Source organism: Homo sapiens, chromosome 16 (assembly GCF_000001405.40).
Source record: "Homo sapiens chromosome 16, GRCh38.p14 Primary Assembly".
Classification (NCBI taxonomy): Eukaryota; Metazoa; Chordata; class Mammalia; order Primates; family Hominidae; genus Homo; species Homo sapiens.
Window position 1 is genome coordinate 365,245 of NC_000016.10, and position 27,990 is coordinate 393,234.

Genomic DNA, 27,990 nt, shown 5'->3' on the forward strand with positions numbered 1-27,990 from the left:
TCCCGGGTTCAAGCAATTCGCCTGCTTCAGCCTCCCAAGTAGCTGGGATTACAGGTGTGCGCCACCACACCCGGCTAAATTTTTGTATTTAGTAGAGATGGGGGTTTCACTATGTTGTCCAGACTAGTCTTGAACTGCTAACCTCAGGTGATCTGCCTGCCTCAGCCTCCCAAAGTGCTGGGATTATAGGTGTAAGCCACAGTGCCCGGTATGATTTTTATTTATTTTTTTGAGACGGTGTCTCGCTCTGTCGCCCAGGCTAGAGTGCAGTGGTGCGATCTCCACTCACTGTAACCTCCACCTCCCGGGTTCATGCCATTCTCCTGCCTCAGCCTCCCGAGTAGCTGGGACTACAGGCACCTGCCACCATGCCCAGCTAACTTTTTTGTATTTTTAGTAGAGATGGGGTTTCACCGTGTTAGGTCTCGATTTCCTGACCTCGTGATCCGCCCGCCTCGGCCTCCCAAAATGCTGGGATTACAGGCGTGAGCCACTGCGCCCGGCCTTTTTTTTTTTCTTTTTGAGACAGAGTCTCGCTCTGTCACCCAAGCTGGAGTACAGTGGTGCAATCTCAGCTCACTGCAAGCTCTGCCTTCCAGGTTCAAGCGATTCTCCTCCCTCAGCCTCCCGTGTAGCTGAGATCACAGGCATGTGTCAACATGCCTAGCTAATTTTTTGTATTTTTAGTAGAGATGGGGTTTCACCGTGTTGGCCAGGATGGTCTCTATCTCCTGACCTCGTGATCCACCCGCCTCGGCCTCCCAAAGTGCTCGGATTACAGGTGTGAGCCACCGTGCCTGGCCTAAAATTTTTTTCAAGGTCGTTCACAGAGCAGGGGCATCACATGAAGGCACTGGTGTGGGGAGCAGCAGGACATGTCGGCAGAGGTGCCCGGTGTGGAAAGAGACCTCGGGGGCCCTCCCAGGGCTCTGAACCAGGCAGGTCCTGACCCCAGGGACCCCTTGCGGCCCCGGGAGCCACGTGCTCCCCTGCAGTCCAGCAGGGCCAACTGCAGACTCCCTCTGGACTCTGCCACAGCCCCCTTGGGAGCCAGGGGCCCCTCAATCAGCCAGCAGGCCCACGTCAGGCAGCTGCCTCCAGTTCACCCCATCCTGCCACCAGCTGGGGCTGGCTTAGGCTCAGGGGACATAAACCCCCCCTTGTCATTCTGCACATGCAGCTGGGGGAGCCCTCCCTCTGTGCTCCCTGGGAAAACCGAATGGGTCCGGAGGATCAGGATTTCCAGGTAAGGGTTGGGGGAGAGGGTCAGGTACCCCCAAAACCTCAGGGCGGGAAATGCCTTAGGGTGCACAGCCCGGCTTCCCGCTGGCCAAACCTCCACCCTGCAGGTCAGGTGGAGGTAGCAGGAGGGGACACCAAGGTCGCAGGTCCCCAAGTTCGTGTCGCCCCCACCTCCTCTACCACTCGCCACAACAGTGCTGACCAGGGAGAGGCTCCTGACTCAGGCAGCTGCACCAGCACGGCCCTCTGAGGGCCTGCCCCTCCTGGTTCCTTCCAGTACCTGCAGAGCCAGACCACAGCCTCCCTTGCCCTGCTCTGAAGAATGTTCGAGAAGGGCAGGAATGTGCAATGGAGAGGGAATGGGCATCATCCGGCTGCACCCCTGGATGCCCCCAGCTACACCAGACCCTCTACCAGAGGAAAGAAAGACACAGAATACGGCCAGGGGAGGTGGCTCACGCCTGTAATCCCAACACTTTGGCAGGTTGAGGCAGGTGGGTCACCTGAGGTCAGGAGTTCAAGCCCAGCCTGGCCAACATGGTGAAACCCCTTCTCTACTAAAATACAATTAGCCATACATGATAGCGGGGTGCCTGTAATCCCAGCTACTCAGGAGGCTGAGACAGGACAATCACTTGAACTCTGGAGGTGGAGGTTGTAGTGAGTCCAGATCGTGCCACTGCACTCCAGCCTGGGTGACTGAGCAAGACTCCGTCTCAAAAAAAGAAAAGAAAAAAAAACACAAAACACAGAATTGAACCTCGCTCTCTGCAGCTCACCGGGGGACGGGCACAGCCAGAGTCAATGCCCACGGCTCATCCGAGGTCTCAGGGGCAGCAAGGGCAGGGGTGACAGGATCAGGATCCCCAAAGAGAACACCAGTCCTCAAAGCAAAGATACACACACACAGCCTGGCCCAGACTTTACTCGCTCCCGGCCCCACGGGCACAAGGAACACTGCCGCAAACGTCGGGGCCCAGCCTGAGAGGAGCCTCTGGGCGGCCCAGGCCTCCTGGGGATCCCTGCCAAGCTGGCCCCGGGCTGGAAGGTGCATGGGCAGCACACGAAACCAGGATCCACCCACTGCCCACCGGTGGCCCTCACAGCTCCCCGGGATCTGTGTCCTCAGTGCAAAGGGCCTGGCAGGGAAAGCTGGGCCTGTTGGTCAGGCATGGAGGAGCTGTGTGGTCACTGGCCACTGGCTCTCTTCTGCACCACCGCCGGCTCTGACAGTGCCTGCTGCTGCAGCTGCTGGATCAGCTCCGCCACATAGATCTTGAACAGGGGTACAGGGTCCTGAAGGAGAGAGGGGCTCATGGTGAGGCCAGGGAAGCCCAGGGCAGCTGGAGTTCCGACGGGGATGGGATCAGCAGCTGCCGCCCAGAGGAACCGGGGCATGAGAGGCCCTGGAGGGCAGAGTCCTGTCGGTGAGATGAGGAACCCCCTCCCTTGGGGATGCCGGAGGCACACACATACCCCTGTCCCATCCCTGTGGTCATGGATAAACAGAGGGAATAGGGGCAGCCAGCTGCCATGCCATCAGGGGCTCCCTGTCCTGACAGCTACCTCAGGCTCCAGACCCTGGGATGCTGGTGGCCGAGCAAACCCTCAGTGCAGGAACCCACTCCTCCTACTGAGGGTCCTGGGACAGAACAGGGTGGGGACTTGGAGGGGAGGGAGCGGGCCATGCTCCTCTGGGTGGGCAATGCAGAGCAGCAGCTCTTCCCCAAGCCCACCCAGTGCACCAGCCCCTTGTGCAGGCTCTCTCCAAGGCAGCACACTCCCAGACCCTGAACACCAGGCTCTGGGCAGGCAGCATCGGCTGGTGCTCACACACTCACCTTCTCCTCCAAAAGTCTCTGCTTCTCAATGGCCTCCTCCAGCGTGAGGCCCACCCACTCTGCCTCCTCCTCTGGGATGGCAAATTCCTAGGCAGGCAGAGATGGAAAGGGCAGTGAGGCCCAGGGCCGGGCCACGAGTCCCCAGGTGTAGGGAGCGGGACGGAAACCCTCACCTTGTACTTGTCGTAGATGGCTGCCCGCCGCTCGGGGTCCTCGGGGTGCAGCTGGGGGTCCTGCCGGGCAAGCCGCAGCAGCATCCCTCGCTTCAGGTCCATCCCAAACTTGGAGCACAGGTCCTCCTTCGGGGTCTGGCAGAAGGCTCACATGGGGCCAGGTGCTGGTGGCAGGGCCCCACCTACCCTTCCAGCCAACCCACCTGGCTCCTCTCTAGCCGCTGGTGGTCCCAGGACAGGACAGAGAAGGCCCGGGTGGGGCCGCCTCAGCACCCCAGCCTGGGGGGTGGGATCAGCACAGAAGCAAGTCCAAGTGCAGGGAAAGGGGCGGCTGTGCTCGCTCAGGCCCCACGGGCAAGTCAGCCACCCACAGAGCGACAGCCTCTCCTGAAGGCAGGAAACCCCACTGGTGCTGGCCAGAAAGGGGCATGGCCCCACTCACGCTTTCCCAGTGACCCTCCTGTGCAGATGTCAGCGTGCCCCGGTGTGATGCTGACCTGGGGCTCCCGTGAGTCTGACTGGCCCATCCCAGACCCTGTGTGCACTGACTCGCCCCACCCCGCTTGCCTTGAGGATGTAAAAGTCGAGCCCATAAGCCTCATCGATGAGGTCCAGGGTCCGCATGGTCACAGTCACTGTGAACTTCTTGTCCAGGATCTCACTGTAGAACTCTCGCTCAAACAGCTGTGGCTTCCACACTTTCTTCAGCCTCTTGGAGAGCTGAGGGTGCAACAGAGCCTCCATGAGTACTGCTGCTTTCTCTTACATACCAAGGGGGGCCCAGGCAACTGCCCTCACCTCCCCCCCGGAGGCTCCATCACAGAACCACTGCTGTCAGACTGGGGACCTAGAGCTAACTGGGCCGGCCCCCAGCCCAGTGCCGCCCCAGCCCGACCCGGGTCCTGACTGTGTACCCAGAAGTCAGCTGCTCCCCAACAAGCTGGGCGTTCCCGCCCTGGTCACATGGTTGCTGCATGTGTTTCAGAAACATGTGCGACCCCACAGTTTACAGGTTGTCACATTCCAACCTGGAGGTGACACAAGTCTCCCCACAGGCTTCAGCAGTCCCGCCAGGAAGTCCACCACAAGCAGCCTCGAAGCTCTGCTCGCCTCCCCCACCTGCTCTGCTCGCCTCTCCCACCTGCTCTGCTCATCACACAGGCCTCCTCCCCATCCTAACTTTACCCCGACTCCCCACGGCCTCTGGTTGCTCCCCCGGCCTGAGTCACCCCACCTCACCCCTACTTTATCAGTCCTGTTTGCCAGAACTGCGGTTCTTCACTCAGCGTGCTCCTTTGCCGGAGATGTGTCGCCTCCAGGCTGTAATCCCCAGGGCCCACCCAGGTCTCTCCAGGTACCCCGGGCGTCCGGCACAGAGCCGGCACAGCCAAGCCCTGAGAGGAGCCCCTGAAGGCCGCCTGCGGACCCACCTTGTCGTTGTTGGCATATATTTGGCCCAGGATCCAGCCCTCGCCGCCCCACAACCCCCGCTGGGATTCGGGGGGAAAGTAGATGGGAATGGGCACGTCCTCCACACGCTCCCGCTGCCCGTTCTTGGGGTTGATCTTGAACTTGGCCCCATGAGGCCTATAGTGCACGGGAGTGGGCGTCCGCTCCTCCTCCAGGGAGCGCAGGTAGTGGCCGGGCAGGCGGGAACAGATGCCCTCCCGCAGCTGCAGCCGCTTCCAGAGCCACACGGGATACTTGTGTAGAGGCATCGCGAGCCTGGCGGGAGGTGGGGGCTCGCAGTCAGTCGCAGCCTGGCCAGGCCCCCGGCACTCACCCCCTACCCCGGCCCCCGACTCTCACCCGCTACCCCGGCCCCCGGCTCTCACCCGCTACCCCGGCCCCCGGCTCTCACCCGCTACCCCGGCCCCCGGCTCTCACCCGCTACCCCCTACCCCGGCCCCCGGTTCTCACTCCGGCCCCTGTCCCGCACCCACCTGCCCCTCCCCTTCTGCCCCGGCGCCCCCCCACACCCCACCTGCCCGCGCCCACCTTTCAGGGTTCAGAGCCCACCGGAACCGGAAGCCGATCTGCCGCGCCTGGCCCTCCTCCCACCGCTGACTGGCTGTAAAAGCCATCCGTCTACCCCCTCGTCCCGCCCCGCTTCCGTCTTTAGGGACCGTAAAAAACACCCCACATACAGCAGCAGCAGCTCAAGGCACCGTTAGCTACGTGCGGCCCCGGCGTTTCCGCGAAGGGCGGCACGGGCGGGGCGGTGCTTGTTCTCCCGGGCCCCACTTACCCTACCCGGGAAGGAGCACAGAAAAAATGTAAAAACTCGTTTAGTTTGAAAAATCAATGTAGAATATTAAATTCACCAAACACAGATAGATCAGATCTACATAAAAATATGTCTTAATATCTTAGAATTTTCCTTTACTCCAAAAAACCCCATATATATATGTTTCTCCTTTATAAGCTTAGAGATTGCTTTGGTGGTCAAGTGCAGGGCGGCTGGGGGAGGTAAGACCTTCAGGAAGGCCATATCCCGGACAAGACCCAGAAGGGAAGCCCCCAGAGCCAAGGGTAGGAGGGCCCCACCCGGGTCTCAGCCACTCACTTCTCCAGGGCGGATCCGAGACACTCACAGGCCTCAGGGAGGGGCCAGGTGCTGCTCCTGGTCATTGCTTCCCCCACAAGGTTTGCATGAGGAGCAGAGACAGTCCAGTCTCCTGAACACCCACAGGGCACAGAGCCCAGTGCAGGGGGCAGACACCACCGCAGCTCCTGGGACCAAGAGGAAGCTCCCAGAGGGGGGCCCAGGAACGCTGGGGTGGGTGGACAGGGCTGGGTAGGGGTTCCTTCTGGGCCAAACCCCCAGAGCAGCAGAGCACCCCAGTCCAAGGAAGCTCTTCTCAGGGACCCAAGGCTCCAGAGCCAGGAAAAAGGGAGGGGCGGGGCGGGAGCCTGCATCCCCAGTGCCCATCAGCTCTGGGGGAAACCTCCGTCTCCCGTCCCTATGGTGACCACAGCAGCAGAGGGGGATCCTCCATGCCCCAGGCAGGCTGGCATCAGGGCCACACAGGGGCCAGGAGCAGGGGTCTCGGAGTCCACAGCTCCCGGCCCCAGTGGTGGGCTCAGGGCTCCTGGGCGCCATGGGTCTCACCACAGCCTCGCCAGGGAACAGGACCATAGGGAGTCCTTCTCCCCATCTCTAGCCACCCACAGGCCAGCAGAGCACACAGCCCCACCCTCGCACAGGCACCTGTGGTCTCCAAGTAACCAAGCCCAGGCCCCAGGGGCCACTGCAGACAGCAGCTGGGATCTGCAGAGGGATCTCAGCAGCGAGCAGGCAGCTGGCGAGGAGAGGTGCGTGTGAGGGAGGGGTGGCCCTCTCCTCAGTAGGAGGAAGTAAGAGGGTATCTAGGCCAATTTATTCAGCTGGAAATCAATCTGTCCAGGGCTGGACCAGGCGCCTCCCCCTCGATACAGCTCCTGGCTGAAGAGGTCATCAGAGCAGCAGCTGTCCCCAGGCCAGTGTCACGTCACTGCGTACAGTTCCTCCCGATCGTTCTTGCAGATCTGATAGTGGCAGGGGAATTTCTGCGAGCAGGCCCAGGGCTCGGCGGGCTGGTCAGGTGGCGGCAGCAGCAAGGCTGCGCTCCCGGCCAGCAGGATGTGCCAGATGCTGTGGGTGTAGTAGTAGTTGTCGCTAGTCATCATGGAGGTGTAGATGGCGATGCCCACAGAGGCCATAGAGACGCCGGGCAGGAGGTAGAAGGCCCAGCGCTGCCACGAGGTGGGGTAGCACTGGCGCCGGTGCCCGCAGCGGTAAGCCTGGAGAAAACAGCCACGCAGGTATCAGTGCAGGTGGGGCCGCGGCTGCAGCTCCCAGGGCCCAGATACGGTGGTTACTGGGGGCCTGCCCAGGTCTGGGCAGCAGAACGACAAGGGTGGGCTGCTTCGAGGGGGCTCAAGGCCACTGGTCCTCAGGCCCAGGCCTCAGGGACACAGCCATGCTGGGCCTCTGTGGGTGCCATGGCAACCCCCAGCAGATATGGGCATTCACTGGTTGGAGCAGGACCAGGAACGTGGCTAGAGCAAGGGGCCAGGCTCTCTTCTCCGAGCACCTGGGCAGCAGTGCCAGCCAGCCCGGCTCCTTACCCACATGGAGGCCATGATCACGAAGGCAAAGAGGCAGGGCCCCAGCATGTTCCACATGCCCCTGCGGTCCAGCTGCAAGGACATGGCGATGACCAGTGTACCCAGAAGAAACAGCACCTGCGCAAGACACAGGGATGACTGCAGGGACGTCTCTGAGGGCTCAAGGCCCAGCAGGAGCACGCGTACCCCACGGCCCCACAGCACCTCTGCCTGCCCCCTCGGAGCTGCTGCCACCCTCAGACCAGCTCTGCCAGCCTCTGACTAGCTCTGCCAGCCGGCAGGGACATGCCCCTCCTTCAGCTTCTGTATTGCATCCACAGGTGAATGTGGCCAGGCAGGCATCTCTGGGGGATTAGACGATGCTCACACAAACTGGACAGACGCATATGGCCGCTCTGCACCCACACACTCACTAGCCCCCTGTACCACTGGGTTTCTAGAAGTCCCCCATCAGGGTGGCTTCAGTCTCCCACCCACTGTTCCATGGGGAGGGGCTCCCACCCCCCAGTCTCCATCAGACACCTCTGCCCACAGCCTACAGTTCTCTGCCTATCTGCAGGTTCAGGCCCCGCACTCAGCCCTGCAGGACCCTGGTGCTTCCCAGCCTCCCCTCTGCCCTGGCTGTGGGGCTCCCATGGGCACCCCCTTGGGGCAGTACCCAGCCTGCAGTTCCCAGAGCAGATGGGAGGGCAGAGCATGCAGCTCACAAGCCCAGGGCATGAGTCTCCCCTTGCCAGGGCCAGCTGCCACAGAGAGTCCCCAAAGCATCATTGGCCCCAAGGACCCAGGGAGCATGGGTGGGGGCTTCTCGAAGGCAGGGGGCCTGGCCTCCCCTGCCTACCACCTTCCTTCCTGGCATCCTCCAAACAGCTGGCACTGCCCCCTCACAACTGCCTGCGGGGTCTCAGACCCGCATCTCCGTGTGGCATCACAGAAGACATGAGGTTTCTTTTCTTTTCTTTTGTCACCCAGGCTGGAGTGCAGTGCTGTGACCTCGGCTCACTCCAACGCCTCCAATGCCTGGGATCAAGCGATCCTCCCACCTTAGTCTCCCGAGTGGCTGGGACCACAGGCATGTACCACTACGCTCGGCTAACTTTTCGATTTTTTGTACAGCCCAGGCTGCTCTTGAACCCCTGGCCTCATGGGATCCTCCTGCAAGTGTTGGGATTACAGGTGTGAGCCACCATGCTCGGCCAAGGCATTACAGGTGTGAGCCACCATGCTCGGCCTAGGGATTACAGGTGTGAGCCACCATGCTCGGCCGAGATGTGAGGTTTCCAGGGGCCGTGCCCAACGCCAGGTCCGGCCTCTCCCACGGTACTGCCTTTCGCAGGCTGCACTTGGGGGCCCTGCTCCCCCGGAGCCCACACCCCACGTCGAGGGCCACTCACGTATTTCAGGACTGTCTTGAGCCGTGCCATGCACAGGATGGTGACCCAGATGGCCGCCCCGGAGCCCAAGAAGTCGCAGTACTGCAGCGTGTCGTAGCTGAGGATGCACAGCACCGCCTCCCCGGGCTGGTCGCAGGCGTGGTAGAACTGTGGGGAGGCTCCATGAGCGCGGTCCTGCCCTCCCACCCCACATCCCTGCAGGAGGGGCCAGCCTACCGTGGAGAAGAACATGGTGTAGGCGTAGACGGAGGCCTCCACCAGGAAGAATCGCCGCACTGAGACGGCGATGGGGGCCAGGAACATGAGGTTGCTGAGCGTGAGCAGCAGTGTGGCCGCCCTCTGCTGGGCCACCGTCTGGGCTGTGCTGTTGTCCGTGCAGCTCCACCCACGCCAGCCTGCGGTCACAAAACCCCGACGCGGAGGCTGGGGGCACTGCTGAACCTCAGGGCCCACCCCTCACCCAGGACCCTGCAGAGAAGCCCCTTCCTCACCCAGGAGCAAGCAGGGTAGGCACGGCGGGCGGGGTCCAAGGTCAGGAGGCAGTACCACCCCCCGGGGATACCTGGTGCCTGTGCCAGGCAGACGGATTGTTGGTGGGGAATGGGGGAGTGGGGAGGAGGCTTTGCCCCTGCATTGCTCTGCAAGGGTCTCTCTCCAGCCCCTTGCGGCGCTCCCCCAGGGGAAAGGCACAGCACAGCACTGGAAGCCAACAGCAGCAGCGTCTCGGGGCGGGCGGGGCCCTGGCACTCACCTGCCTTGCAGCTGCAGCTGGCATACAGGTAGCTGTGTCTGCGGAGCAGGAGGCACTGGCCATAGGGTCCACAATCGTTCAAACAGGGCACCAGGTACAAGGTGGTCTCCACGTGGACCACAGCCTGCTCACAGTCCCTTTGAGGAAGGGGCCACAGGAAAGCTGGTGCAGTGATCTGACAGCCCAGCTGCCACCAGCGCTCCCAACAGGCTGACAGACATGAGAACGCAGCATTAGGGCCCCCAGCTTTCAGCAGCCCTGGAGGAAGCACCCCTCTAGCTGGGTCACTCCGAACGCCAACCTCAGGCAGCCCGGCCTGTGGTCCTGAGTGAAATGACAGGGTGCCTGGCCCCCGTCTCTGCCCTAGGTTTACTTACTCAGCATTCTCAGGGCACATGAGCTGCAGGGAGAGGTACCAGTTGTCTGTCTCTGGGTAGGGGATGATGAGGTTGGCCCTGCGAGACCAGGCGCTCAGAGACAAAGGGTAGCCCTGGAAGAAGGCTGCAGGGGAGCCAGAGGGCCCCATCAGAGGAGGCCGGGGCGGGGGGCTGGCCGGGGCCACGCTGACGGTGACGCCTGCCCATCATACCTGTGGTGCAGTTGAGCGAAGTATTGAAGCCAAGGAAGGGCGAGGCAGCATTCACGCAGGCCACTACGACGGTCTCGTTCCGCATCTCTGTCTGGAAAGGGAGGCGGTGCCGGCTCAGCTCCAGCAGCCCCTGGCCGCAGTGGGGTCATCTGCCCCACGTGCCAGCTCAGCCTGGTGCTGGTGCCTTTCTTTTTTTTTTTTTTTCTGAGATGGAGTCTTGCTCTGTCGCCCAGGCTGGAGGGCAGTGCCGCGATCTCGGCTCACTGCAACCTCCGCCCCTGGGTTCATGCCATTCTCCCGCCTCAGCCTCCCGAGTAGCTGGGACTACAGGCGCCCGCCACCACGCCCGGCTAATTTTTGTATTTTCAGTAGAGACGGGGTTTCACCGTGTTAGCCAGGATGGTCCCAATCTCCTGACCTCGTGATCCACCCTCCTCGGCCTCCCAAAGTGCTGGGATTACAGGCGTGAGCCACCGCGCCCGGCCGGTGCTGGTGCCTTTCTCTGAGACTCCTGCAGGCCCACGGTGCACCGGGACCTTCCTCCCCGGGCCCTGGGACATCCTGCCTCCACCCCACCTCTGACCCGAGCTACCCCACAGCCCCGGGGCCTGTTGACAGGAACAAGGCTGCCCAGCAGGGGAGGCCCCCCAACATGGGCCCCTGTCTTGGCCCGTGCCTGCTGGTGTCACTGTGCCGCCTGTCCCGTGCCAAGGTAAATGAGGAGGCGCTGCAGGGGTTGCCCGGCGCCCTGCCCGAGCCCAGGCCACAGGCCGCTTGCAGACAGCAGGTACCTTGTTGGCCCGCAGGGAGATGGTGAGGGAACCCCCGCTGTCCATGCCGGTGTTCAGGCGCAGCCGCATCACGGAGGGCGTGTCCGAACACACCCTCACCGAGACCCTGTCCAGGGGCTGGAAGTGCACCGACACCACGTCCATGTCCTCCCGCGTGACTGGGTAGTTTGTGAGGCAGAAGGGGCTGCGGTCCACCCTGCCACTCCTGCCCAGGTCCTGGTGGTCGGGGCTCGGGGACAGCAGACCAGAGGAGGCATTGAAGCTCTGGTTTTGGCTGCTCTGCAGAAGGGGCTGGATGGTCACGCTCCGTGGCCTGCAAGCTGCCGAGAGGACAAGGGGTTTGGCTGGAGGAAAGTCTGGGGATCTGGGGAGGGGCAGGGCCATCCCTCCAGCCCTTGTGCGGCCCACCTGTGAGGGCAGCTACAGCACTGAAAGCCACTGTCCCGAGGGGCCCCACCAGGCTCTCAGCTGTCACTTGCAGCCACCGGTCCCAGGGCGGTGAGGGCAGCAGCAGGCGGCAGGGCCAGGGGGCACCGGTGCAGGTGAGCACCTTCTGGAAGTTGCTAGGCAGGGTGACCGGGCCCACGGTGAGACGCACGGGGCAGCCCAGGCTCCCATTGGACACGCAGTCCCGCAGCTCCAGCAGAAGCTCCCGCGTGTAATCGGGGACAAAGACCCTGCAGCGAGGGGACACAGCTGGCTCAGGCTCTGCCATTCCTCAGCCCAGGGACGCAGCGTGCCCAGGCTCTGCTGTTCCTCAGCCCACTCTGGTGGGGGCCAGGCATCTGGACCACTTCCCAGCCCAACCCCAGGACTCAGGGCCAGGCTCTCGCACCCACTCCACCGAATCTGAGAAGGGGCCGGAGGGCAGAGCCGGGCTGCCCCCCAGGCCCCCGCTCACTTGAGGTAGCTGGGATGGGAGAGGAGGGTCTGAGGAAGGGGCACGTCCGGCTCCATGATGGAAATCTCGACCACCCGCGTGACCAGCAGTTCAGGCTGGAAGACGTAGGCACAGGTGGGAGCCAAGCCCTAGGGAAAGAACAGGTGTGGGCGGGGGCGGTGTCAGAGAATGCAGGTGTGAGGGCATGGTCTCACCAGACGCCCCCGGCATGCAGGGAGCAGGGCTGGCCCCAGAGTGCAGCGTGGAGCCTAGAGCGAGGACCACCCCAAAGAGGTGAACGGCAGGGACAGGCCATCGCCGCAAGGTTCTCTGCCTCCATCCCGGAGGGCAGCCCCCCTCACCTTCAACTCGATCTTCTGGGATGAGGGGGGCAGGTGGGCGGCCACGAACCAGTCCCCGGGGGCCGGGTGGGAAACGTTGACGGAGGCATTGCTTCTCGGTGTGGTGCTCAGCGGCACCCCGACCTGGAAGGAGGGCTGTACCGCGGTGTCGTCCGGGAAGCTGGTGCCCAGCGGGTTGATGACCGGAGGGGCGCCGGAACGGAAGTGCCTGGAGACGGGAGAGCAGCACCGGGTTCAGGCACAGGGCTTGGCCAGGCGCGGGAGGGTGGGCAGGCGGGCGGGCAGCCACCTACACGGTGATCTCCGCGTCGGTGCAGGCAGCGCCGCTCTCCCGGGAGACCTGCAGGAGCCAGCGTAGAAGCACAGCATCTGGGGGCACGCGGAAGCGGAAGAGCCTGGCACTGCCGTACCAGCTGTAGAAGGACAGCCTCTGCGGGGCCTGCGAGAAGTGCTCGGACACCAGCCCCACCTCTGTGAGGAGAAGGAGGTGTCAGCCAGGCCGGGACCCTCCTCCAGGGCCGCAGATGGGGAGGACGAGTCCCCCAGATGGAAAGGGCTGGAAGCCCCCGGGGACCCACCTGGAGATCTTGGCACACCAACTCTGACCTTGGCAAAGGTCACCGACACCCTCTGGCCCCTCAGCCAGATCCTCTGCTGTCCCTCCCCAGATGGCCTACATCCCACCCTCCTGGCATCTGGGTCTTTTCACAGCTGCCGCCTCACTGCAGCAGCTTCCAAACAAGCCGCAGGGTACCTCAGCAGCCATCGCCACCCTGACTGCCATCGCCACCCGCACTGCCATCCCCACCCGCACTGCCATCGCCACCCTGACTGCCATCGCCACCCTGACTGCCATCGCCACCCGCACTGCCATCCCCACCCGCACTGCCATCCCCACCCACACTGCCATCGCCACCCGCACTGCCATCGCCACCCGCACTGCCATCGCCACCCGCACTGCCATCGCCACTCTGACTGCCATCCCCACCCGCACTGCCATCGCCACCCTGACTGCCATCGCCACCCGCACTGCCATCGCCACCCACACTGCCATCCCCACCCGCACTGCCATCGCCACCCACACTGCCATCGCCACCCGCACTGCCATCGCCACTCTGACTGCCATCCCCACCCGCACTGCCACCCGGACCCCCTCCAACCTTAGAAGACTACACTCCCCATGGCCAACCCAGGTCGAAGCCGAAGGACCCAGCAGGTGTCAGGAAGGAGCCCCCGCCCCTCATCACAGATGCCCTGGATATCAAGGCACGGTCCTCCCACCTCCTCTCAGCCTCCCACATCTCCATCCCTGGATGGGTTGGCTGCCTGCTTGGGCTATGATGACTTTGGACACGGCGAGACCGGAGCCCAAATTCCCCTTACCCAGAGGGAGATACTGCATGTGGGAGGGACCCAGGCCAGAAGCCTGGCCAGTCATGAGAACAAGGGGACAGCTGCCCTCTGCGTTCCAAGCGGGCAAGGCTCCTAACTGTCCTCAGGGAACGCACCCACGCCTGGTGCGGGGATGGAGAAGGGCCCGTGGGAGACATCCTGCTCATGGCCCCAGGCGAGGACTCAGGCTCTCACCCCCAGCCCCCCGTGCCAGCTCCAGCCTCGTGCCCTTGCGACCTTGGGCATCCTTCCCTCCCTGGGTCCCAGCCTTCTCCTGGGTAGGTCAGGGCGGAGGGCACATCCCTTTGGGGGCCCCTCCCTCCGAGGTTAATTAACGACAAAGGCTTCAGAAGGAAAAGCACAGTGGACACAGCAGGGGGCGGGACCCTCCCCTCTGCTGCAGCTCCCCCTCCCCACACACTCAGGAGCGCTGCCTAGGTCTCACTGGAGAGTGGCTGGCTCAGGCCCAGGCCCCTCCTGAGGAGGGAGACAGGTGAGCAGCAGGCTCTCCTGCCAGCCTCGTGACCCTCCCATAGAGGCACCAGAAGAAACGATACACCTGCCAATAGCAGCCTGTCGGCAAATCCAGGCCAAGCTCCAGGGGAACCTGGCGTGGCGACTGGGCAGGGGCTGGCCAGGCTCCACCCACGACGCACTCCAGGCTTTCCAGGTGTCTGCTGGCCACCAGGTCCCACCCACCAGGCTGTGGCCTGATAATGTGGGCAGAGAAAGCTCAAGTGCTGGGAGCTGAAGCAGGACAGCCCCCCAGGACCACGGTGTCCCGGAGAAAGCCGGCCTCTGCGGGGGCAGGCAGGGGAGGCCACCTGCAGCACACACAGCCCCTGGGCTGCTGGGGCAAAGCCCTCAGCCCCTCTGGCCCTGGAGCGCCAGCCTGAGGGCACCTAGAACCCAGCTGGTGGCTGTGAAGTTTCAGCAGGTACACAGAGATAAGAGATCTGTTCAAGGTTGTCCTAACACCCAGTCCCCGACTCCCAGGGCTCACAGCCCCTCCAGGCCTCTCCCAGGGCTCTGCAGCCCAAGCTCCCTGCCCAAGTTGCCCACACATACCAGGCTGTTAGGGGTGCTCTGAGCCGAGGTGACCACAGGGTGAGGAGGGCCAGCTACACAGCCCCCTGCCTGCCCCACAGCCCCTCCACGGACACAGGGCTGGGTGGGGAAGGTGGTAATGCAAGTCCCTGGCCCTGTCCTGGGAACCTGAGTGAAGACCCCAGACCCACGTCCTCCAAACCGGGACAGGCACCCATGGGAGACCCTGACCACCCACAACGCCACAGAGCACTTACTCCTCGGCAGGCTGGGAGGAGTGAGGGGCTGAGCCAGCACACCAGGCCTCTCCACTGTCCACACACAGGGGTTCCATCTCCCAGGAACCCCTCACCAGGCCTGAGTTCTGGGACAGGAGAATTTCCTTTGCCAGTTTCCAACGGAGTAAGGTTTTGGTATTTCTGAGGGTCTCACTCTGTCACCCAGGCTAGAGTGCAGTGCCATGAACACGGCTCACCGCAGCCTCAGCTTCCTATGTAACTGGAACCGCAGGCTTACATTACCACACCCAGGTTATTTTTTTTTCTTTCTGTCTTTCTTTTTTTTTTTTGAGATGGAGTCTCGCTCTGTTGTCCAGGCTGGAGTGCAATGGAGCGACTTCGGCTCACCGCAACCTCTGCCTCCCGGGTTCAAGCGATTCTCCTGCCTCAGCCTCCCGAGTGGCTGGGATTACAGGCATGCGCCACCACTGCCGGCTAATTTTGTATTCTTAGTAGAGAAGGGGGTTTCTCCATGTTGGTCAGGCTGGTCTCGAACTCCTGACCTCAGGTGATCCACCCGCCTCAGCCTCCCAAAGTGCGGGATTGCAGGCGTGAGCTTCGCGCCTGGCCATGGAGCAATTTAATCCGGGGCACGGTCCTCGGGGAAAACTGCCTTTCATCTCTACCTGTGCCAAGCTCAGAAAGCAGGAGGCACAGCCCCCGAAAGAAACAGGAGCTCAAAGGAGCATTATTTCAGGGGCAGGGGAGGGGAGGGGCTGGGGGCCGGGAAGTCGGGGAACAGCACCGCATCAGCTGCCGGGCACCTGGGCACCCGCGTGGCTGGGGACGTGTGGGAACTTCCAGCCGGCCAGAAAGGACACGGCCCCTCCAGAGTCCCAGGCCACAGAGGCCGGGGCAAGTCCTCACCATCTCAGGGTGGCCAAGGCCTGACGGTCTCCACACCCACGTCCCTACCCCGTGGAAGGGCTACGCCTTCTCCCTGGTCCAGCCGCCTCCTTGGACCTCAGTCAGGGACGGGGACCCTCAGGGAACAGAAATGCAAAGGGAGCCCGGCGAGTTTCCCAACAAGAGGGGAGAGGGGCGCCCTTTCCTCAGCCCCTCTTCCGCCAGCTGGGAGTCCCTCCTCCCAGAAGCCGGGCCGGCGGCAGGAAGCGGCCGTACCAGGGCTGGGGGTCACTGCGGAAGGGCTGGAGCCATGACGCCCACGGGCCCCCGCTACAGGGTCTAACAACTTTCTCCCGGCTCTGCCCCTCTCTCAGGCCGGACCCGGCCGGTGAGCTCACGGCCCAGCCACTCCTCCCAGCTGGAGTCCCGGGCAGAGTCCCCTGGGCCCCTCCACTTCCCCGCGCCGGGCGCGCCGGACCTGGGCGCTCTGGGAGGAGGAGGGAGGGGAGGGGGCGCTCCAGGGGCCGATGTGGCCCAACCCCGATCGGGGGACCGAGGAGGAAGCGCGGGGTCCCGTCCGCCTCGACCCCTAGGACACGAAGCGCCCCAAAGGGCCACTGTGCACCCCCAACCCGCGGCGGGGACCCCCAACCCCGCGCCGGCGCCAGATGAGCGCACAGGTGCGCCCGGGGTGTCACAATCCCGCCCCGCCCGCAGCCCCGGCCCCACGCCCCCGATGGCGCCCGCGCCTCCCGCTCACCGCTCTTCCCGCTGTAGCCGGCGGAGGCAGGCGGGGGCCGGGCAAGCAGCAGCAGCAGCAGCGGCCCCGCCACCACCGCGGCCACCGCCTCGCCCCCGGTCCCGGTGCCAGCCCGGCCCATGGCTCCGCGCTCGGCCCGGCGCTACCCGGCCCGCGTCCCGCGCCGCCGGCCCCCGCCGCCGCCCGGGCAGCCTCTGCCGCCTCCGCCTCTGCCGCCTCCGCCTCTGCCCCCGGCGCCCATGGCCCGGCCGGTCCCCGCCGCCGTCGCCCCGGGCACTTCCGCCCGCAGGCCCCGCCCCGCAGGCCGAGCCGGGAAGGCGAGGGCGGGGTCGGGGGGCGGGACCGGGGGGGGCGCGGACGCCGGGGGGAGGGGTCACGTGGGGCGCCGGTAGGGGGGAGGGGTCACGTGGGGCGCGCGGGGGACGGACCGGGGCGCGCGCGGTCCGGGGGGACGCTGGAGGGAGGGCGCGGGATGGAGGGATCGCGGGGGTCCCAGGACGGAGAGGTCGCGCCGGGCGCGCTCGGAACACGCAGGAAATTCTCCCCGAGGCGTGGGCTCCGCGGGGCTTCCCCGCCGGTTCGCTGAGTCCCAGCTCCGCTCGGCCGGGACCTCCGTGGCAGGCTCGGGGAGCCCGCGGGGGGCAGAGGCGCCGACCTCCGCCTGGGACCGAGAGGAACCCGCGCCCTGCCCTGCCCCGCCCGGCGCGCGTGGGCCTGAGTCAGGCGCCTCAGCACGGGGACCCCCGGGCCGGCCTTCACGCCGCAGAGCCGCTGCAGGTGCGTGTCAGATCCACGCTTTTATGCACAGACGAGAAGGCTGCTTGTGTTTAGGGACTGTAGTACCCGATCGGGGTGGCGGTTCACACGGGTGCGTGGCATCAACTCCCGGCGCTTTGCACCTGGATGGATTCCCACCATGTAAGATTTGAGCCGAAAAAAGGAAGCGATAAAGCCTAGAAAACTCGGGGAAGCTTTTTCCGTCTTAGGGCCAAGTCGGCTTTTCCAAGCGTGGCACAGAGTCCAGAAGTTCCGCCGCGTCGTGGGTGGGAGGGGGGTGGGGGCGTCTGCAAAGCCAAACTGCATAAGCGAAGTCCAAAAGACGAGCCCCCGACTGGGAGGTGGGGGACACAGCTTGCAGCTCACACCGCAGAGCTCACCTTAATAAGACTAGTAACAGTGCAGTAATAAACAGCTCTAAATCAATCACAGAAACGCTCCCCTAGAAAATACTGAAGGACAGCTGCCAGGGATACGCTGATCCTCCTCCCTCAGCGCAGAAATGCAAATTAAAAACTACTCCAGCTACTCCGGAGGCTGAGGCCAGAGAATCGCCTGAACCCGGGAAGCGGAGGTTGCAGTGAGCCGAGATCGCGCCACCGCACTCCAGCCTGGGCGACAGAGCGAGACTCCGTCTCAAAAAACAAAAACACAAAAACAAAAACAAAAACAAAAAACAAAACACTAAAGTGTCCTTCCCAGGATGTGAGGGTAAAAAGTTTAAAAAAAAAAAAAATTAAAGGAAAACCCCATTAAAGTGACTTCTTTTTCCTTTCACCTAACACATTGGCAAATAAAAACTGTACTAACAGGTGAGACTGTGGCCCACAGACACTGCTTGCAGCAGGCAGAGGATGTGGGAGCCTCGTGGGAACCCCCCCGACTTGTCCACTGAAGTAACAGCAGCAATGACCTTCCCTCGGGAATTCCACCTCTGCGTTTTTCCCTCCAGGTACGTTCACGGAAGTGGCACACTGCATGCGTCCAGTGAGTCAATGTGGCACCGCCTACATGCGTGTCACTGGCCGGTGGGACATTCAAATCATTCATACGGGGTCTAAACGAGACAGAGCGTGGCCGAGACAGGAAAGACAGGAAGCGCTGTGCTGCTTGGAAATGGTCCACCAGGTGCAGCAGTAGCTGCAAGAAAGGAACAGGAAGAACGGTGTGTTCAAAGCTCTACCATTTGTGTAGAAAAGGGAGAAAAACACGTTTCCTTTGTGTGTGTCAAAGGCATCGAATGTCTGGAATGATCCAGCACCGGCTACACTGGTTGACCTTGGAGGAGGAGAGGCGGGGTGGGGATGGGGATGGCCGCAGGGACCATACCTGTTTGTACCTTTTGAACGCCGCAGCGGGTGGTGAGGGTTTACGGAGCGGGGGAGGGGAAGCTGACTCCACGAGCCCAGACCCCTGAAGGCCAGAGCAGCGGAGGTGGAGGGTGTTGGCCGGGGAGGAAGGAAGCCCCGGCTGAGCCTTAAAGAGACCCTTTGTTTCCCGGGAATCCCAGCTGGGCCGTCCTCAGCCCCGACTGAGGGGAAAGGGGGGCTCCCAGGGGTTCTCATTTTAAAGGCACGGAGGTCAGATTGCAGATTTTGCTGAGCCGTGATTTGAGTGTGCTGTGCCGGACTGCACCCAGCAACCAAGGTCAGCACCAGCACCCAGGACTGCTCCAGACCCAGTCCCTGCTCCAGGCTGGGCCCAAGCCCCCCTCCTCCCACTGCCCTCCCCTGAGTGAGTCACCTTAGTCTGAGGTTCCTGTGCCCCAAGTCACCCACCGGAGAGGGAGAGAAGCGGCAGAGCCCCCACTTCCAGTGCTCCAGCTGAGGGCTGGTGAACTTGAAGGTGGGTAAGAATCCCCAGACGGAAGTCCAGAGACGTCTGCTAAGTCACAGAGTGTTGGCAATGGAGAGACTCTTCTGTAACAGGAAACACAGCTCAGTCAGGCTACTGGTCAGGGAAACAAAACAAGCCACTTTGTCAAAAAACAGCCACGCAGCCCTTGCCACAACAGATGCTCACACTTTGCTGGCAGGCATGTGAACCCCCTCAACCTTCTGAAAATTATTGTGCCAACATTAAAATGTAATGGAGAGGGCCGGGCGCGGTGTCTCACGCCTGTAATCCCAGTACTTTGGGAGGCTGAGGCCGGCGGATCACGAGGTCAGGAGATCGAGACCATCCTGGGCTAACATGGTGAAACCCCTTCTCTACTAAAAATATAAAAAGTTAGCCGGGCGTGGTGGCAGGTGCCTGTAGTCCCAGCTACTCCAGAGGCTGAGGCAGGAGAATGGCGTGAACCCAGGAGGTGGAGGTTGCAGTGAGCCAAGATTGCGCCACTGCACTCCAGCCTGGGCGACAGAGCGAGACTCCATCTCAAAAAAAAAAAAAAAGTAACGGAGAGGCCGTACGCGGTGGCTAATGCCTATAATCCCAGCACTTTGGGAGGCTAAGGTGGGCGGGTCACCTGAGGTCAGGAGTTTAAGATCAGCCTGGCCAACATGGCGAATTATTTTTGTCTCTACTAAAAATATAAAAATTAGCCAGGCATGGTGACATGAGCCTGTAATCCCAGCTACTCAGGAGGCTGAGGCAGGAGAATCACTTGAACCCGGGAGGTGGAGCTTGCAGTGAGCAGGGATCAGGCCACTGCACTCCAGCCTGGGCAACCAGAGCAAGTCTCCATCTCAAAAAAAAAAAAAATGTAATGGAGAACACTAAGGCCTAGAGACAGACACACAAGGATGTTTGCAGCAGAACTGCTTGTATTTGGAAAAACCTGGGCGCTCCATGAGGGCAATGGGTAAATAAATCATGCTATAATATACTCTGATTTTTTTTTTTTTTTTTTTTTTGAGACGGAGCCTCACTGTCGCCCAGGCTGGAGTGCAGTGATGCGATCTCGGCTCACGCAAGCTCCACCTCCCGGGTTCACGCCATTCTCCTGCCTCAGCCTCCCGAGTTGCTGGGACTACAGGCGCCCGCTACCATTCCTGGCTAATTTTTTTTGTTTTTAGTAGAGATGGGATTTCACCCTGTTAGCCAGGATGGTCTCGATCTCCTGACCTCATGATCCGCCCGCCTCGGCCTCCCAAAATGCTGGGATTACAGGCATGAGCCACAGCGCCCGGCCTACTCTGATTTTTTTTTTTTTTTTTTTTTTTTGAGATGGAATCTCGCTCTGTCGCCCAGGCTGGAGTGCAGTGGCGCGATCCTGGCTCACTGCAAGCTCCGCCTCCCAGGTTCACGCCATTCTCCTGCCTCAGCCTCCCGAGTAGCTGGGACTACAGGCGCCTGCCAACACACCCGGCTAATTTTTTGTATTTTTAGTAGAGACGGGGTTTCACCATGTTAGCCAGGATGGTCTCGATTTCCTGACCTCGTGATCTGCCCATCTCAGCCTCTCAAAGTGCTGGGATTACAGGCGTGAGCCACCGCGCCCGGCCTACTCTGAATATTTATGCAACTTTTAGATGGGTCTATAAATGTGTCTTCAGAAGGAATGTCAGTAAAGTGAAAAATCCAGTTGCTGGATAACAGGGACGCATCGTATTTCCAAACAAACAGGAAGACCCTCAAGCCCCCTCCCCAGGTCCCCCTCTAGTGAGCCTGGGTGAGGGTAGACTCCAGCTGCCTGCAGCCTGGCCGGAGGGGAGGGTTGCTGGGTGTGGGAGCAGCTTTCCACAGTCGGTGTGCTCTTCGCCCAGCAGCAATAAGCATTATTATAGTTGTCTTGGATAAAAATATCAAAAGTTAAATAAAAGCAAAAAAAAAAAGCCGTAATCCAATTTTCTCCAAATAACCACCCTGTGCACCTCCTGCAAATGCTTCCTGTGTGCAAGACTGTGTGAGGACCCCTCTCTCTCTGTGGACACTCTCCCAGGCTCTGCAGGTTGAAAGGAGTTTCCCTCTGTCTGTTCATGGCCACCTGGTAGACATGGGAGACCCTGTCTTCCCACTCCGCCCCGAGTTTCCTGAGGGCAGGAGATGGGTCTCTCTCACTCTGTGGTCAGGCAGGAGGAGTGCAGACCGTAACCCTGTCTTTCTGACCCAGTGCCCTAACCTGTCAGCATGAACCACACCACAGGTGCCCAGACATCAGAGTTTCACAGACAGAAATAGTTTCCCCAGAGTTTTGGGGCTTTTTTAGGCTCAACTATCATGCATTATTATTCTTTCATAAAAAAAGGGTCATTTTCCCAGCCTGGGCAACATGGTGAAACCCAGTCTCTACAAAAAAAAAAAAACCAAAAAAAAAAAAAAAAAAAATTGGCCTTTTCACAAGATGGCGCTGAAAGCAAAGAAGGAAGCTCCTGCCTCTCCTGAAGCCGAAGCCAAAGCGAAGGCTTTAAAGGCCAAGAAGGCAGCGTTGAAAGGTGTCCACAGCCACATAAAAAAGAAGACCCGCACGTCACTCACCTTCCAGCGGCCCAAGACACTGCGACGCCGGAGGCGGCCTGAATATCCTTGGAAGAGCACCCCCAGGAGAAACAAGCTTGGCCACTATGCTGTCATCAAGTTTCCGCTGACCACGGAGTCGGCCGTGAAGAGGACAGAAGAAAACAACACGCTTTTGTTCACTGTGGATGTTAAAGCCAACAAGCACCAGATCAAACAGGCTGTGAAGAAGCTCTATGACGGTGATGTGGCCGAGGTCACCACCCTGATTCCGCCTGATGGAGAGAAGAAGGCATGTGTTCGACTGGCTCCTGATTACGATGCGTTGGATGTTGCCAACAAAATTGGGATCATCTAAACTGAGTCCAGCTGCCTAATTCTAAATATATATATATATATATCTTGTCACCATAAAAAAAAAAATTGTAGCCAAGCATGGTGGCATGTGTGTCTGTAGTCCCAGCTACTCCACAGCCTGAGGCAGGAAGATCCCTTGAGCCCAGGAGGTCAAGGCTGCAGTGAGCCAAGATCGCACCACTGCACTCCAGCCTGGGTGACTGAGCGAGACCCCATCTCAAAAATAAATAAATTAACTAATTAAATCATTCAAGGGCTGGGGACGGTGGCTCACACCTGTAATCCCAACACTTTGGGAGGCAGAGGCGGGTGGATCACAAGGTCAGGAGTTCAAGACCAGCCTGGCTAATATGGTGAAAACTGTCTCTACTAAAAATACAAAAAACTGGCACGCACCTGTAGTCCCAGCTACTTGGGAGGCTGAGGCAGGAGAATCGCTTGAACCCGAGAGGTGGAGGTTGCAGTGAGCCAAGATCACATCACTGCACTCCAGCCTGGGTGACAGAGCAAGACTCCGTCTAAAAAAAAAAAAAAAAAAAAAAAGGAAAGGTCATTTCCCAATCCAAAAAAGTAGGAAGTATGTACCCTTTTTGAAGGGGATCTGCTCCTCCACACCTGTGGGTATTTCTCGTCAGGTGGGACAAGAGACTGAGAAAAGAAATAAGACACAGAGACAAAGTATAGAGAAGGAAAGGGGGGCCCAGGGGACCGGCGCACTCAGCCTGAGAGGACCTGCAGGGGCGCTGGTCTCTGAGTTCCCTCAGTATTTATTGATCATTATTTTTACTATCTTAGCGAGGGGAGTGTAGCAGGCCAACAGATGGAGAGAAGGTCAGCAGGGAAACATGTGAGCAAAGGAATCTGTATCATGAGTGAGTTCTAGGAAAGGTACTGTGCCGGGATGTGCACATAGGCCAGATTTATGTTTCACTTTACATAAACATTTCAGTGTAGCGAAGAGTAACAGAGCAGTATTGCTGCCAGCATATCTCGCCACCAGCCACAGGGCGGTTTTCTCCTATCTCAGAATAGAACGAATGGTCGGCTTTACACCGAGACATTCCATTCCCAGGGACAAGCAGGAGACAGAAGCCTTCCTCTTATCTCAGCTGCAAAGAGGCCTCTCTCCTTCACTGCTCCTCCTTAGCACAGACCTTTTTACGGGTGTGGAGCTGGGGGATGGTAAGGTCTTTCCCTCCCCACGAGGCCATATCTCAGGCTGTCTCAGTGCGGGGAAACCTTGGACAACTCCCAGGCTTTCTTGGGCAGAGGTCCCTGCGGCTTTCCGCAGTGCACTGTGTCCCTGATTAATCGAGAACGGAGAATGGCGATGACTTTTACCAAGCACACTGCCTGCAAACAAATTGTTCACAAGGCACATCCTGCACAGCCCTGAACCTATTAAACCTTGATTCAACACAGCACATGTTTCTGTGAGCACAGGTTTCTGTTAAAATTACAGGTTAACAGCATCTCAAAGCAGAAACAATGTTTCTTAGTACAGATCAAAATGGAGTTTTCTACATAGACACAGTAACAATCTCATCTCTCTTCTTTTCCCCACACTTTTTTTTTTCTTTTGAGACGAAGTCTCACTCTTGTCCCCCAGGTTGGAGTGCAATGGCGCGATCTCAGCTCACTGCAACCTCCGCCTCCCAGGTTCAAGCGATTCTCCTGCCTCAGCCTCCTGAGTAGCCGGGATTACAGGTGGACACCATCATGCCCCGCTAATTTTTGTATTTTTTAGTAGAGATGGGGTTTCATCATGTTGGCCAGGATGGTCTTGATCTCCTGACCTCAGGTGATCCGCCCGCCTCGGCCTCCCAAAGTGCTGGGAATGACAGTTCAGTTTTTTGTTGTTTTACATTCAGTCCAGCTTTTTGTTGTTGTTTTACGTTCAGCGGATGGCAGTAGACGGGTTTTTCTTTTTCCTTTTTTTTTTTTTTTATTGAGACAGGGTCTTGCTGTGTCGCCCAGGCTGGAGTGTAGTGGGAACATGGTGGCTCCCTGCAGCAATGGCCTCCTGGGATCAAAGGATCCCCCTGCCTCAGTCTCCCAGGTGATTACAGGCCAGCACCAGCACGCCCAGCAGTGGTTCTTATTTATCCCCATTTTGTCTGAGCAAATGAATGCCTGTCCTGGGTGTGGGTGCGAGTGAGCTGGAAGATGAAGGGCATGGGCAGTGACCGCACAGCGCTCAGCCTGCAGGGAGCCTGGGGTGAGTCCAGCAGCACTGGAGCGCGGAACCACAGCAGATGTCCTTGTCCCTTCCAAGGGGTGGGAACAAAGGTGACAGGGACAGAGATGGCTGCCGGGGTAGGAGGCCCAAGAGTTGCTCTCTGCTGAGAAGGCTCCCCTTGGTGTCCCTCAGAAGTGTACCTGGGCGGGCCGATGGGACTGGGACTGAGGCTGTGCTCCTCCTACAAGGAGGGGCCCACTCTTCCTGGATCTCCCTGCAGTGACCTCAGCAGAGGTGAAAGAGGTCTAGCCGGGCACAGTGGCTCACGCCTGTAATCCCAGCACTTTGGGAGGCTGAGGCAGGCGGATCACCTGAGGTCAGGAGATCGAGACCATGGTGAAACCCCGTCGCTACTTAAAATACAAAAAAAATTAGCAAGGCGCAGTGGTGGGCACCTGTAGTCCCAGCTACTCGGGAGGCTGAGGCAGGAGAATGGCGTGAACCGGGGAGGTGGAGCTTGCAGTGAGCTGAGATCCCGCCACTGCACTCCAGCCTGGGCGACAGAGTGAGACTCCGTCTCAAAAAAAAAAAAAAGAAAAGAAAAAGAAAGAGGTCTAGCCTGTGTACACGTGGAAATCCAAGAGGACAGGGAAGACAAACTGAGACAGAAAAAAAATATGTGAAGAAATACCCCAAATTCTAAAATTCGGTGAAAGGCATTCATTTACAGATTCAAGCAGCTTAGTGAAGCTTAACAAGAATCAATGCAAAGAAAACCATAGCCAATTACATCATAGTCAAACTGCTGGAAAACGAACTTATAGAGAAAATATTGAAAGCAGACAGAGAAAGATAACACATTATAGTCCAGGGAACAATTGAATGGCATAACTTCCCATTAGAAACAATGGGGTCCAGGGCCGAGGGCTGTGGCCACGCCTGTAATCCCAGCACTGTGGGAGGCCAAGATGGGAGGATCAACAACAGCTTCATGGTTTCTAACGGGAGTTCAGGCGCGCACCACTACACCCACCTAATTTTTAAAATTTTTTTGGGCCGGGCGCGGTGGCTCTCGCCTGTAATCCCAGCACTTTGGGAGGCCAAGGCAGGCAGATCACGAGGTCAGGAGATCGAGACCATCCTGGCTAACACGGTGAAACCCCATCTCTACTAAAAATAGAAAAAATTAGCCGGGCATGGTGGCGGGCGCCTGTAGTCCCAGCTACTCCAGAGACTGAGGCAGGAGAATGGTGTGAACCTGGGAGGCGGAGCTTGCAATGAGGCGAGATTGCGCCACTGCACTCCAGCCTGGGCGACAGAGCGAGACTCCGTCTCAAAAAAAGAAATTTTTTTTGTAGAGACAGGGTTTTGCCATGTTGCCCAAACTGGTCTCCAACTCCTGGCCTCAAGGGATCCACCTGCCTCGGCCTCCCAAAGTGCTGGGATTACAGGCGTGAGCCACCGCGCTCAGCCAGAATAAACATTTTTTTCAAGCGCACACAATTTGTTTTCCAATACAGATCACATGCTGGGCCATAAACCAAGTCTCAATTAATTTAAAATAGTTTAAGTGGTAGAGAATATGTCCTCTTTCATTAATTAATTTATTTATTTATTTATTTTGAGACGGAGTTTTGCCCTTGTTGCCCAGGCTGGAGTGCAATGGCTCAATCTTGGCTTGCTGCAACCTCCGCCTCCCGGGTTCAAATGATTCTCCTGCCTCTGCCTCCCGAGTAGCTGGGATTACAGGTGCCTGCCACCATGCCCAGCTAAGTTTTGTATTTTTAGTAGAGACGGGGTTTCACTGGTTGGCCGGGCTGATCTCGAACTCCTGACCTCATGACCCGCCCACCTTGGCCTCCCAAAGGGAATATGTTCTCTGACCACAGTGGAATTAAGTTAGAAACCTGTAACAATAAGATATCAGGCTGGGCACGGTGGCTCACGCCTGTCATCCCAGCACTGTGGGAGGCTGAGGCAGGCGGATTACGAGGTCAGGAGATTGAGACCATCCTGGCTAACACGGTGAAACCCCGTCTCTACTAAAAATACAAAAAATTAGCCGGATGTGGTGGCGGGCGCCGATAGTCCCCGCTACTGGGGAGGCTGAGGCAGGAGAATCATTTGAACCTAGGAGGCAGAGCTCGCAATAAGCCAAGATCATGCCATTGCACTCCAGCCTGGGCGACAGAGCGAGACTCCGTCCAAATAAATAAATAAATAAATAAATATTTAAAAAAATAAAACAGGTGAGAGACCTCCATGTAGGGCAATGCCCTCCCTACATGGGTGTAACAGTCGTAGGGCTGGGACAGAATTCAGCTGTCCTGATCCCCCCGCTGTCCCACCCTGCAGGTATCTTTTTGAGCACCTTCTACAAGGACCATCCAGCACATCCATAGGAATGTTCCAGAAATCCACGGCCGTGCTCAGCCCTGATTCCTCACTCCACCTCATCCTCAGTCAGGCTCTGGGGCCCTCTGAGTGGTGCCACTCCAAGAGTGAAACCAGATAGGCAGTCCATGCTTTGGATGGCAGTGAGACCCAGACGCAGTTCCAGCGCTGGCCTCTGAGCGGCAGTACAGCCCCATGGACCACCAGAGCCCCTGAAGCCCAGCTCTGGTTGGAGGTGATGCCACTCTGCACCTCCCTGGCTGCTGTTTGTATTAGTCATCTATGCTGCATAACAAATACCCCACAACTTCATGATGTAAGCAGCACACGTTCATTATCTTCCAGATTCTGTGGACAGGAGGCTGGGTGGGGCTTAGCAGGGAGCCTCTGAGTCAGAGGCTCTCACAGGCTGTGGTCAAGGTGTCAGCCACGCTGAGGTTACCCCAAGGCTTGACTAAGGGGGGATGTACTTGTTTTTTTTTCCAGACCGGGTCTCGCCCTGTTGCCCAGCCTGGAGTGCAGTTGAACAGTCTCAGCTCACTGTTCCCTCTGCTTCCCAAGTTCAAGCGATTCTAGTGCCTCAGCCTCCCGAGTAGCTGGGACTACAGGCGTGTCACATCCCACCAGGCTAATTTTTGTATTTTTGGTAGAGACGGGGTTTCATCATGTTGGCTGGGCTGGTCTCAAACTCCTGACCTCAAGTGATCTGCCCACCTTGGCCTAGCTAGGTGCTGGGATTACAGGTGTGAGCCACTGCACCACGCCCACTTTTTTTTTTTTTTTTTAAGAGATGGGATCTCGCTCTGTTGTCCAGCCTGGAGTGCAGTGGCACAATCACTGCTCACTGCAGCATCAACCTCCTGGGCTCCAGCAATCCTCCTGCCTCAGCCTCCTGCAGATTCACTTCTAAGCCCACCTATGTTGCTTTTGGCCAGAAACATCAGTTCCTTGTCATGGGGGCCTCCGCACAGGGCTGCTCACAACAGGGGAGCTGCTTCTCCCAGGAGGTGGCGGAGCAGCAGCAGCTGCAGTCTTTGGTGACCAGATTGTGAAAGTGACACTCCGTCTCTTTTGCTGTGTCAGAAGTCAGTCACCAGGCATGGTCCACACTCAAGGGGTAGGCATTACACAAGGAAATGAACTGGGTTTTGCTTTTCTTGTTGAGTTACGAGAGTTCTTTTTTGTTTTGTTTTGAGACAGGGTCTCATTCTGTTGCCCAGGCTGAGTGCAGTGGTGCGATCACAGCTCAATCCAGCCTGGACCTCTTGGGCTCAAGCAATCTTCCCACCTCAGCCTTCCCGGTAGCTGGAAATACAGGCGCACACCAACACGCCCCGCTAATTTTTTATTTTTTTGTAGAGACAGGTTTCACTATGTTTCCCAGGCTGGTCTCAAACTCCTGGCCTCAAGTGATCCTCCAACCTCTGCC

General features: G+C 59.3%; 2 protein-coding genes, 1 long non-coding RNA gene and 1 pseudogene across 6 annotated transcripts, besides 8 other annotated features; 2 read left to right on the plus strand and 2 right to left on the minus strand.

The window, feature by feature from the left end:
* Positions 1,725 to 5,294, minus strand: MRPL28 (mitochondrial ribosomal protein L28). Of its 3 annotated transcripts, none has more exons than NM_006428.5 (6): positions 5,255 to 5,294; positions 4,687 to 4,981; positions 3,824 to 3,976; positions 3,257 to 3,391; positions 3,084 to 3,170; positions 1,725 to 2,538 (listed from the first exon to the last, which is right to left on the minus strand). In NM_006428.5, the coding sequence occupies exons 2-6, from the start codon at positions 4,972 to 4,974 to the stop codon at positions 2,431 to 2,433; spliced, it is 771 nt and encodes a 256-aa protein (NP_006419.2). In that variant the 5' UTR covers positions 4,975 to 4,981; positions 5,255 to 5,294; the 3' UTR covers positions 1,725 to 2,430. The 3 variants fall into 3 exon arrangements, with proteins under 3 accessions (NP_006419.2, XP_011520653.1, XP_005255098.1); XM_011522351.3 differs by having other exon boundaries at positions 5,241 to 5,294; XM_005255041.3 differs by having other exon boundaries at positions 5,200 to 5,294.
* PGAP6 (post-GPI attachment to proteins 6) lies at positions 5,544 to 21,735 on the minus strand. Of its 2 annotated transcripts, XM_047434413.1 has the most exons (14): positions 21,653 to 21,735; positions 19,012 to 19,152; positions 12,427 to 12,604; positions 12,134 to 12,341; positions 11,793 to 11,920; positions 11,300 to 11,568; positions 10,892 to 11,211; positions 10,101 to 10,191; positions 9,889 to 10,012; positions 9,512 to 9,648; positions 8,977 to 9,155; positions 8,761 to 8,907; positions 7,367 to 7,483; positions 5,544 to 7,039 (listed from the first exon to the last, which is right to left on the minus strand). In XM_047434413.1, exons 5-14 carry the CDS (start codon positions 11,846 to 11,848, stop codon positions 6,743 to 6,745), a joined length of 1,737 nt encoding a protein of 578 aa, XP_047290369.1. In that variant the 5' UTR covers positions 11,849 to 11,920; positions 12,134 to 12,341; positions 12,427 to 12,604; positions 19,012 to 19,152; positions 21,653 to 21,735; the 3' UTR covers positions 5,544 to 6,742. The 2 variants fall into 2 exon arrangements, with proteins under 2 accessions (XP_047290369.1, NP_067082.2); NM_021259.3 differs by lacking the exons at positions 19,012 to 19,152; positions 21,653 to 21,735 and adding an exon at positions 16,457 to 16,734.
* Positions 7,024 to 7,595: an enhancer, noted in NCBI's record as "H3K27ac-H3K4me1 hESC enhancer chr16:422268-422839 (GRCh37/hg19 assembly coordinates)". NCBI's record gives its function as "activates a minimal SCP1, AML or CMV promoter by ChIP-STARR-seq in primed H9 embryonic stem cells {active_cell/tissue: H9 hESC(primed)}" and the evidence as "EXISTENCE:reporter gene assay evidence [ECO:0000049][PMID:30033119]".
* Positions 15,827 to 16,726: an enhancer, noted in NCBI's record as "H3K27ac hESC enhancer chr16:431071-431970 (GRCh37/hg19 assembly coordinates)". NCBI's record gives its function as "activates a minimal SCP1, AML or CMV promoter by ChIP-STARR-seq in naive H9 embryonic stem cells {active_cell/tissue: H9 hESC(naive)}" and the evidence as "EXISTENCE:reporter gene assay evidence [ECO:0000049][PMID:30033119]".
* Positions 15,827 to 16,830: a biological region, named in NCBI's record as "H3K27ac hESC enhancer GRCh37_chr16:431071-431970".
* Positions 16,161 to 16,280: a silencer, noted in NCBI's record as "silent region_6913". NCBI's record gives its function as "represses an Ori minimal core promoter by ATAC-STARR-seq in GM12878 lymphoblastoid cells {active_cell/tissue: GM12878}" and the evidence as "EXISTENCE:reporter gene assay evidence [ECO:0000049][PMID:35858748]".
* Positions 16,411 to 16,560: a silencer, noted in NCBI's record as "silent region_6914". NCBI's record gives its function as "represses an Ori minimal core promoter by ATAC-STARR-seq in GM12878 lymphoblastoid cells {active_cell/tissue: GM12878}" and the evidence as "EXISTENCE:reporter gene assay evidence [ECO:0000049][PMID:35858748]".
* Positions 16,601 to 16,830: a silencer, noted in NCBI's record as "silent region_6915". NCBI's record gives its function as "represses an Ori minimal core promoter by ATAC-STARR-seq in GM12878 lymphoblastoid cells {active_cell/tissue: GM12878}" and the evidence as "EXISTENCE:reporter gene assay evidence [ECO:0000049][PMID:35858748]".
* Positions 16,851 to 17,200: a silencer, noted in NCBI's record as "silent region_6916". NCBI's record gives its function as "represses an Ori minimal core promoter by ATAC-STARR-seq in GM12878 lymphoblastoid cells {active_cell/tissue: GM12878}" and the evidence as "EXISTENCE:reporter gene assay evidence [ECO:0000049][PMID:35858748]".
* Positions 16,997 to 27,716, plus strand: LOC100134368 (uncharacterized). Its single transcript, NR_024453.2, has 3 exons — positions 16,997 to 17,233; positions 18,046 to 18,185; positions 26,523 to 27,716. It is a non-coding gene; the product is annotated as an uncharacterized LOC100134368 (long non-coding RNA).
* Positions 21,502 to 22,046, plus strand: RPL23AP5 (ribosomal protein L23a pseudogene 5; annotated as a pseudogene).
* Positions 25,240 to 25,417: a silencer, noted in NCBI's record as "fragment chr16:440484-440661 (GRCh37/hg19 assembly coordinates)". NCBI's record gives its function as "represses an EF-1alpha promoter that drives an FKBP-Casp9 reporter gene in an ReSE screen in K562 erythroleukemia cells {active_cell/tissue: K562}" and the evidence as "EXISTENCE:reporter gene assay evidence [ECO:0000049][PMID:32094911]".
* Positions 27,717 to 27,990: the final 274 nt, after the last annotated feature.